At 34.7% G+C, this 11,439-nt stretch overlaps 1 protein-coding gene across 2 annotated transcripts in view; it reads right to left on the bottom strand.

Annotated features, from left to right (window-relative positions):
• Positions 1–11,439, bottom strand: part of LAMA2 (laminin subunit alpha 2) — a 633,429-nt gene that overhangs the window by 345,741 nt on the left and 276,249 nt on the right. For both annotated transcript variants that reach the window (NM_000426.4, NM_001079823.2), the window contains exon 9: positions 5,151–5,250. In NM_000426.4, coding sequence (NP_000417.3) covers positions 5,151–5,250 — 100 coding nt within the window. The remainder of the gene's footprint in view (positions 1–5,150; positions 5,251–11,439) is intronic.

Here is an 11,439-nt window from a genome sequence, read left to right as displayed (position 1 = left end):
GACCTACAAAGAGACTTAGACTCCCACACATTAATAATGGGAGACTTTAACACCCCACTGTCAACATTAGACAGATCAACGAGACAGAAAGTCAACAAGAAGTCAACAAGGATACCCAGGAATTGAACACAGCTCTGCACCAAGCGGACCTAATAAACATCTACAGAACTCTCCACCCCAAATCAACAGAATATACATTTTTTTCAGCACCACACCACACCTATTCCAAAATTGACCACATACTTGGAAGTAAAGCTCTCCTCAGCAAATGTAAAAGAACAGAAATTATAACAAACTATCTCTCAGACCACAGTGCAATCAAACTAGAACTCAGGATTAAGAATCTCACTCAAAACTGCTCAACTACATGGAAACTGAACAACCTGCTCCTGAATGACTACTGGGTACATAACGAAATGAAGGCAGAAATAAAGATGTTCTTTGAAACCCATGAGAACAAAGACACAACATACCAGAATCTCTGGGACGCATTCAAAGCAGTGTGTAGAGGGAAATTTATAGCACTAAATGCCCACAAGAGAAAGCAGGAAAGATCCAAAATTGACACCCTAACATCACAATTAAAAGAACTAGAAAAGCAGGAGCAAACACATTCAAAAGCTAGCAGAAGGCAAGAAATAACTAAAATCAGAGCAGAACTGAAGGAAATAGAGACACAAAAAACCCTTCAAAAAATTAATGAATCCAGGAGCTGGTTTTTTGAAAGGGTCAACAAAATTGATAGACCGCTAGCAAGACTAATAAAGAAAAAAAGAGAGAAGAATCTAATAGATGCAATAAAAAATGATAAAGGGGATATCACCACGGATCCCACAGAAATACAAACTAAAATCAGAGAATACTACAAACACCTCTATGCAAATAAACTAGAAAATCTAGAAGAAATGGATAAATTCCTCGACACATACACTCTCCCAAGACTAAACCAGGAAGAAGTTGAATCTCTGAATAGACCAATAACAGGATCTGAAATTGTGGCAATAATCAATAGCTTACCAACCAAAAAGAGTCCAGGACCAGATGGATTCACAGCCGAATTCTACCAGAGGTACAAGGAGGAACTGGTACCATTCCTTCTGAAACTATTCCAATCAATAGAAAAAGAGGGAATCCTCCCTAACTCATTTTATGAGGCCAGCATCATTCTGATACCAAAGCCAGGCAGAGACACAACCAAAAAAGAGAATTTTAGACCAATATCCTTGATGAACATTGATGCAAAAATCCTCAGTAAAATACTGGCAAAACGAATCCAGCAGCACATCAAAAAGCTTATCCACCATGATCAAGTAGGCTTCATCCCTGGGATGCAAGGCTGGTTCAATATACACAAATCAATAAATGTAATCCAGCATATAAACAGAGCCAAAGACAAAAACCACATGATTATCTCAATAGATGCAGAAAAAGCCTTTGACAAAATTCAACAACCCTTCATGCTAAAAACTCTCAATAAATTAGGTATTGATGGGACGTAATTCAAAATATTAAGAGCTATCTATGACAAACCCACAGCCAGTATCATACAGAATGGGCAAAAACTGGAAGCATTCCCTTTGAAAACTGGCACAAGACAGGGATGCCCTCTCTCACCGCTCCTATTCAACATAGTGTTGGAAGTTCTGGCCAGGGCAATTAGGCAGGAGAAGGAAATAAAGGGTATTCAATTAGGAAAAGAGGAAGTCAAATTGTCCCCGTTTGCAGACGACATGATTGTATATCTAGAAAACCCCATTGTCTCAGTCCAAAATCTCCTTAAGCTGATAAGCAACTTCAGCAAAGTCTCAGGATACAAAATCAATGTACAAAAGTCACAAGCATTCTTATACAACAACAACAAACAGAGAGCCAAATCATGAGTGAACTCCCATTCACAATTGCTTCAAAGAGAATAAAATACCTAGGAATCCAACTTACAAGGGATGTGAAGGACCTCTTCAAGGAGAACTACAAACCACTGCTCAAGGAAATAAAAGAGGATACAAACAAATGGAAGAACATTCCATGCTCATGGGTAGGAAGAATCAATATCGTGAAAATGGCCATACTGCCCAAGGTAATTTACAGATTCAATGCCATCCCCATCAAGCTACCAATGCCTTTCTTCACAGAATTGGAAAAAACTACTTTAAAGTTCATATGGAACCAAAAAAGAGCCCGCATCGCCAAGTCAATCCTAAGCCAAAAGAACAAAGCTGGAGGCATCACACTACCTGACTTCAAACTATACTACAAGTCTACAGTAACCAAAACAGCATGGTACTGGTACCAAAACAGAGATATAGATCAATGGAACAGAACAGAGCCCTCAGAAATAACGCCGCATATGTACAACTACCTGATCTTTGACAAACCTGAGAAAAACAAGCAATGGGGAAAGGATTCCCTGTTTAATAAATGGTGCTGGGAGAACTGGCTAGCCATATGTAGAAAGCTGAAACTGGATCCCTTCCTTACACCTTATACAAAAATCAATTCAAGATGGATTAAAGACTTAAACGTTAGACCTAAAACCATAAAAACCCTAGAAGAAAACCTAGGCAGTACCATTCAGGACATAGGCATGGGCAAGGACTTCATGTCTAAAACACCAAAAGCAATGGCAACAAAAGACAAAATTGACAAATGGGATCTAATTAAACTAAAGAGCTTCTGCACAGCAAAAGAAACTACCATCAGAGTGAACAGGCAACCTACAAAATGGGAGAAAATTTTTGCAACCTACTCATCTGACAAAGGGCTAATATCCAGAATCTACAATGAACTCAAACAAATTTACAAGAAAAAAACAAACAACCCCATCAACAAGTGGGCGAAGGACATGAACAGACACTTCTCAAAAGAAGACATTTATGCAGCCAAAAAACACATGAAAAAATGCTCATCATCACTGGCCATCAGAGAAATGCAAATCAAAACCACAATGAGATACCATCTCACACCAGTTAGAATGGCAATCATTAAAAAGTCAGGAAACAACAGGTGCTGGAGAGGATGTGGAGAAATAGGAACACTTTTACACACTGTTGGTGGGACTGTAAACTAGTTCAACCATTGTGGAAGTCAGTGTGGCCATTCCTCAGGGATCTAGAACTGGAAATACCCTTTGACCCAGCCATCCCATTACTGGGTATATACCCAAAGGACTGTAAATCATGCTGCTATGAAGACACATGCACACGTATGTTTATTGCGGCATTATCCACAATAGCAAAGACTTGGAACCAACCCAAATGTCCAACAATGATAGACTGGATTAAGAAAATGTGGCACTTATACACCATGGAATACTATGCAGCCATAAAAAATGATGAGTTCATGTCCTTTGTAGGGACATGGATGAAATTGGAAAACATCATTCTCAGTAAACGATTGCAAGAACAAAAAACCAAACACCACATATTCTCACTCATAGGTGGGAATTGAACAATGCTATCACATGGACACAGGAAGGGGAATATCACACTCTGGGGACTGTTGTGGGGTGGGGGGAGGGGGGAGGGATAGCATTGGGAGATATACCTAATGCTAGATGACGAGTTAGTGGGTGCAGTGCACCAGCATGGCACATGTATACATATGTAACTAACCTGCACATTGTGCACATGTACCCTAAAACTTAAAGTATAATTAAAAAAAATAAAAACTGAATCGGAAAAAAGGCTCAATATTTTTAAATTTGGAAGTAAGACTGGGATAAATAGGTTGAAGAGGACACTTATTATTTTATTTCTTTACTATTAAGAATTTATTTTACTATGTATTGTTTTTACAATAATTGAAAAGTAATTATATGGAATAAGTATTATTAAAGGATTGGTTAAAATAAACAAAAATTTGAAACAATCTTAATGTCCATATAAAGTTGAGAGGGTAAATAATTATGGCACGACCATATAATAATGTGTTATTTAGGTGCTGAAGCCAGACTTCAGAGAAAGTTTTCATAGATTTTTGGGGAAACTCATCACATAAAGTTAAGAGGAGCAATATCAGAAATTTTTGTATGCATTATGACAGAAATATATGAAAATGTTAATAGTGGTATCTCTCCTGAATTACCACTGAATTGTATATTTATTTTTCTACTTTTCCATTTTTATTCTGTGATCATATACTCATTACTCAAAAAGGGGTAGGGAAGAGTTAAATGATATTAATGAAAACAACATTGTGATTTACTTGTAAACACAAAGAGAAAAGGCTTAAAACGAAAAGTGAGCTCAGTAATTCATCATTCGACTATCAAAACGTATCCGTTTTTTAATATTTCAAAATTTAGTCTACATGTAATGCTCAGATTGATAATCCTACAGTTTTATAAAGAAAGCAGGTAACAAGAATTGTACCTAAGAAACATTGCTGGTCTTTTAACGCTAAAGTCATTAGGGAAAAAAACACTACATTGTAGCCTTGATTAATTTTAGTCTTTCTAGAGAAGAAGCGTCCCAGTGCATTCTATGAATTTCCTACTTAAACTTGGCGAGCAACTGCCCTGGAAGTAGCTCCCAAACGCTTTTATATCAAGGAGTTATGTTGGCATTTGATTTCTTAATGTTTGGAGTTCATGAATTTCATTCCTCAAAGGAAGGCTTTAGCTTAAATTAGTGTCAGCCTCTTTCTGTTCATTAATTCATGACTACTACCTTCTTAGTCCTTTATGAACACTTCTTGCTTTCTATATTATTGCCTACATCTCAGTGTGTGAGTTCTTCTATTTGCTTTTCCCACTACAGCACACACATTCCTCAGTGAACGCTGGCATTTCATGCTAGAACTCATAGAAGCTACAAACAATCTAATAAATAACACGATATGAAAAAATTACATATACCACAGATTTGTGATTGACTCTCTCTCTTTCTTTATCTCTGTGTATGTGTGTGTGTGTATCTCAAAATACATAATTCAACTCTTCTTGCTATGAAAACATTATAATTAAACATGAAAGTAATTATTGAGATGAGTTTAAAAACTACTTCCTGGAGGGAACGCTAATACACTGATAGATTAAAGAATAAATTTATTACATGAATAACATTTACTGCAAAATATTCTTCTGAAAATAATCATATTTGGCTTTTAGTTGTCCTTTTATCAGAGCAGTGACATTCTGCTGCAGCTCTCACCTCGTCGAGCATGTTTCTCATCCTTGACACAGACTTCATTTAAGGAACCAATTGGATCGCAATGACATGGCTGGCATGGCCTTGGATAATTTGGAGATACCTAACAAAAATATTAAAATGAATTTAACGAAGTGTAATAGAAACAGCAATATTTTTCACTTCAGCAAACTTTTATAGACAAAGTAGTTTTAATAATACAGAGCAGCAAATTATTGAGAAAACTATAAGAATTACCTTTAATACATGTTTATAATTTCTAAAATCCAGTTCTTTTACATGCTTACACAAAAGTAAAGATAATAGAATAATAAATTCCTATATATTTGTTACTTAGATTCAATACTTATTGATATTTTCATGTTTTATTCCTTTTTATCTTGTATACATAGTATATCAACAAAGCTAGTTTACTTAAACAAAACTACACTGTGTTCATATACTGTATATACAAGATTTATTTTCCAGATGTAATAGGAAAAAAAAAAAAAACTAAATTATTTGCCCAAGAAATGCCCACCTATTCAATATAGTTCATATGTATATATATCTAGGCTTAATTTACAAATGAAAACTTGTTTGCTACTATAAATCAGAGTGTTAAAATTAGACTTATTTATATACCTCACTGAATCTCAATTAACTAAGTTCACAGGTCAGTTTCAAAATCATCATTTGTTTAAGATACATTCATTCATTCCCCCATTATGAAGTTGGGACTGTGCACAGAATAGGTAAGGCATATTTTATATACACATATAAATTAAATGTCATTAAGTGGAAAAATCTAAAATCAAATTTTAAGACAATAATTTTATGAACATCATAGAGATAAATTCTTTAGCTGTTAAACTGCAATTCACAAAATTTGCATAACAATACCCTTCCCAGCCTTAACTGATCCCTTTATTGTATATTCACTCAGGAGATTCTAGGAAATTCAGTGGAAAGCAACCGCTGGAAACTGAACAAGGTGAGAAGAGTTTTCAGGTGCTACCAACCATAAAGTAAAGAGAATTCAGACTTTAAGTTAACTACATTAGAAATGTTTGATGAATACCTGGAGTTTTCCACTAATCTGTCCTAACAAAGTATGAAAGTAAACTTTCATGACTTCATGGTGATCACTCAGCAAGTTTATTACTAATTAGAACCAATTCAAACTCTTCAGAGGAACATAACAGAAACCAGTGTCTGCATTGTATTCTCCGAAATGTCCTGTAGAGATGATAAATTACAGTAGTCCTCACCTCATCTGTAGTTTTGCTGTCTGAGGTTTCAGTTATCATGGTTAACCACAGTTCGAAAATATTAAATGGAAAACTCCAGAAATAAATAATTGAAAAGTTTTAATTTGCATGTCATTTTGAATAGTGTGGTGAAATCTCGGGCCATCTTGCTCTGTCGCACCAGGGATATGAATCATCCCCTTGTCCAGCATATCTATGCTGTATAGACACTACCCTCCTGTTAGTCACTTAGTCCCATCACAGGTATCAGATAGAAAAAACATAGTATATATAGGTTTGGTACTATCTGTGATTTCAGGTATCAACTGGGGTTCCTGGAACATATCCTCTGTGAATAAAGGAGGACTACTGTATTAGATATACAGGAAAGAAACAGGAAAATGTTGACCTTATTAAAAAAAGAAGTTGATAAAAGCAGATCCTGAGGTGACCCAGATATTGAAATTAGCATACAAGGAAGTCAACGTAAGTTCTGTAAATATGTCCGAGAATATAAAGGAAACAATGTTTATAATGAGTGAAGGTATGGAGTATTTCAGAGAAATGGAAGCTGTAAGGAACATAAGAACTCCAGAAAGCTGAAAAGTAAAATACCTCAATTTAATAATTCACTGGATATGCTTAACATCAGGTAGAGATGATAGGAGGAAGAGTAGTCAACCTAATGACTACTTTTGTAGTCATCTGGCCATAGGCCAGGATTTGGTCTACAGGCCAAAGTTTTCTCAAACATGATACTATTGTTAAAAGTAAATATAATGAGAATTTATTTATTTATTTATTTGTATTTATTTTTGAGATAGGGTCTCGCTCTCTTGCCCAGGCTGAAGTGCACTGGTGCAAGCTTGACCCACTGCAACCTCACTTCCTGGGTTCAAGCTATTCTCCTGCCTCAGTCTCCTGAGTAGGTGATATTACAGGTGCCTGCCACCATGCCTGGCTAAATTTTGTATTTTTAATAGAGACAGGGTTTCACCATGTTGGCCAGGTTGGTCTTAAACTCCTGACCGCAAGCGACTTGCCTGCTTCGGCCTTCCAAAGTACTGGGATTCCTGGGGTGAACCACTGTGCCCGGCCTAATGAGAATATTTTAAAATCAGCTAGTAAATTAAAGATACATTATATGTAGACCAAAGTATAATGACAGATGAATGGAAATGATCCAATCTAAAGAACGGAGAAAGAAAAAAAATTACTTAGCACTGCCTCAGATACAATGAACGCCCTAGCACACATGCAGCTGGAGTCCTAGAAAGAGAAGGAAAAACACTGGTCAAAAAACAGGTTTTAAACAAAAGCCTAAAAAAAATAAGTAAAAATAAAAAAAATAGCCTAAAATTTCCTAAATGTGGAATAAAATCTCAATTTATAGTTCCTAGAAGCTTTGTGAATCAAGCAAGGTAAGCTTGAAAGCCAAACATAGACACATCATAGTTTATTTAACTCTGAGGTTGGAAAACTTTTCTGTAAAGGGCCAGATAGTAAAATAAGCCATATAAAGACTCTCTTCATTCTTCCTCCTCTTCTTCCCCCCCCTCCTAGTTCTCTTCATTCTCCCCTTCTTCTACTTCTCCTTTTAACAAACCTTTACAAATGTAAAAACATCCTTTGCTTACAGATCATACAAATATAGGCCATGAGTCAGATTTGGTCTACGGGCCAAAGTTTTATCATACATGGTATAAGTGTCAAAAGGCAGATATAAAAAAATTTTTGAAATCATCTAGTGAATTAAAGATATATATATATAGAACAAAGAAACAAATAATGGCTATGTTGTCATAAGGATGAATGAAATCCAGAAAATAATGGTGCCACATCTTTAAAGTGCTAAACAAAGAAGAAAACACACACCTCTGTAACTATGTGGAAAATATCCTTCAATAATGAAAGTAGATTAAAGACATTTTCAGATAAAGGGAAGTTGAGAAAATTTGTCACCAGCAGCTCTGCACTACCAAAAAAAAAATGTTAAAGGAAATTTTTCAAGCAGGAGGGCAATATATATAAGCTAGAACCACAGAGTATGGAAAATGGGAAAGGTATGGTTAATGTAAATTTTTTTCCTTCTTTTCATTTCTTTAAGATTGTTTTCATAGTTTTGTGACTTCAAACAAAAATGACAACATTGTATTGCTGGCTTACAAATTATGTGCAATATATGAAAACAATAGTCCAAAAGATAGGACTATATCACTATATCATGAGCTTAAAATACTACCATCTCACACTGGTCAGAACGGCTATTACTGAAAGTCAAAAATAACAGATACTGGTGAGGTTGCAGAGAAAGGGAACACTTATACACTGCTGGTGGGAAAGTAAATTAGTTCAGACACTGTGGGAAGCCGTTGGGAGATTTCTCAAAAAACTTAAAACAGAACTAGCACTCAACTCAGCAATCCCATTACTGCGTATATGCCCAAAGGAATATATATCATTCTATCATAAAGCCACATGCATGCCTATGTTCATTGCAGCCCTATTCACAATAACAAAGACATGGAATCAACCTAGGTACCATCATTGGTGGACTGAATAAAGAAAATGTAGTACATATACACCATGGAATACTACACAGCCATAAAAAAGAATAAAATCATGTCCTTTGAAGCAACATGGATGGAGCAGAAGGCCATTATCCTAAGTGAATTAATGCAAGAATAGAAAACCAGATACTGCATGTTCTCTCTTATGAGTGGAGCTAAACATTGAGTACACATGGACACAAAGAAGGCAACAATAGACACCAGGGCCTGCTTGAAAAGGGTGGGAGGGGGGTGAAGATTGAAAATTTTATTATGCTTATTATCTGGGTGACAAAATAATCTGTACACCAAATCCCATGACACATAATTTACCCATGTACTACCTGAACCTAAAATAAAAGTTGGAATGGAAAATTATACAAAGAGGTACTGCTAAAAAGATAATAAAGGAAATAAAATGGAATACTGAAAAATATTTGTTTAACATAAAAGTAGACAGAAAAGGAAGAATGGGAACAAAAATTTTGTGACACAAATGGGAAACAAATAGCAAAACCCAATCATATTATTAACTATATTAAATTTAGGGACTAAACACACAGTAATTGTCAGGATAAAAAATCCATCTATTTTACTCTTTATAAGAAATCTTTTAAATGAAAATAAAGATAGGTTGAAAGTTAAACAAAATCAGAAAAAACATACCATACAGAGTAAGCATATGAAAACTGCTGTGGCAATGTTAATAAAAAATAAAGTAGACTTTAGGACAAAAAGTGATATCTGAGATTAAGTGGAGATCTTCACAGTTATCAAAATATTAATTTATAAGATATAAAAATCTAAAGATTCAAAATATTCTAAATATGTATGTGCCTCATAACAGTGCTTCAAAGAACAGGAAGAAATACTGAAAAAAATGAAAGAAAGGTAGGAATCCATAATCGCAGATTGGAAAAATCCACATTTATTTGTTTGCCAAGAGAGACCATGCACTGAGCCATAAGTTAAATTTCAATAAACTTCTAAAGTTTGACATCTTAGAGAGTATGTTCTCAGATCATAAACATCCAGTGTAGAAATCAAAAATATAATATTTAATAAAGCTCAAATATTTGGAAATTAACAAAAAATAAATCACAAGAGAAATTAGAAGTTATGTTAAATAAATGACAATGAACATAAAGCATTCCTGAATTCATGAGAAACAGCTAAAGAACTGCTAGAAGGAAATCTATATTTAAAAGTTTATATGATAAAAGAAGAAAGGTGTAAAATCATAATTTAACTTTCCAAATTGATAGGTAGAAAAAGAAAATGAAATTTAAAACCAAAACAGGTCAAATGAATAATATAATAAATAGAACAGAATCAATAAAAACACAAAAAATAAAAAGGCAGAAGTTTTTTTGGAAAAGATTAGGAAAATTGATAAACCCCTAACATAAGTGATCAATAAAAGGAGAAAAGCACAACTTAATCATTTTAAAAATTACACAGGGGATATCTATATAGATGCTATAGACTTCAAGAAGATAATAAGGCAATTTTTAAAACTGCCAATTGCCAATGATTTGACAATTTAGATGAATTGAACAAATTACTTGAAAAATACAATATATCAAAAATTGACCCTCCCTAAAGATATTAATACAAAACCTATCTAACCCTATGTCTAATAAAAAATAGCCAATACAATGCACGAAGAAAACTAGAGACTCAGATAGTTTCACTAGGAAATTTTATCAAGCATTTTAAAGAGAATTAATTTTAATCTGAAGTTACTTTAGAAAACAGAAGAGGAAGTGCATTTCCCCGATCATTTGTTGATGCCAGTATACCCCAATAAAAAACCTGACAAAAACATTATAAGAAAATAAAATTATAGACCAATATATTTTATGAGAGGATGTCAAAATTCTTAACCAAACATTAGTCAATTGAATCATCCAATATATAAAAATGATAATATATCATAACCAAATGGAGATTAATTCACAAATGCAAAGCTGCCTTCATATTTTAAAATTCAATTTGCATAAATTGTCCCCGTTAACAGAATAAAGGAGAAAATCCTTATGTTCATTTCAGTAGGTTTCGAAAAGCATATGACAAAATGCAAAACCATTTTGTTATAAAAACTCTCTGCAACTTAGGAATAGTAGGGGACCTACTGAATCTGATAAAGGGTGTCCATAAAAAAATATGCAGTTCACATCATACTCCATAGTGAAATATTAGGTTTCCCTTTAAAATTCAGAACAAAGTGAAGATGTCAGCTCTCGCCATTTTTAGTTAACCTTGGCATAAAGATTGCAAAGGAAGAAGTAAGCCTGAATGTACTTGCAGGTAAAATGATTGTTTATGTGTACGTTTCTAAAGCATGTAGTTTAAAACTACTAGAATTAATAAAGAAATTAAGCATGGTGGGTGCTCCCGAATCGATGAGGAAAGCCGCTCTCCCCGGCAGATCCTCCCGGCCGGGGCGCCTCCATCACCCTGCCTGCGCCTCGGCACGCTGGCAAGGAGCCCGGGAAGAGACGCCGGGAGCGA

This window comes from Homo sapiens, chromosome 6 (genome assembly GCF_000001405.40).
Source record: "Homo sapiens chromosome 6, GRCh38.p14 Primary Assembly".
Lineage (NCBI taxonomy): Eukaryota > Metazoa > Chordata > Mammalia > Primates > Hominidae > Homo > Homo sapiens.
This window is presented reverse-complemented; position numbering and strand designations above follow the sequence as displayed.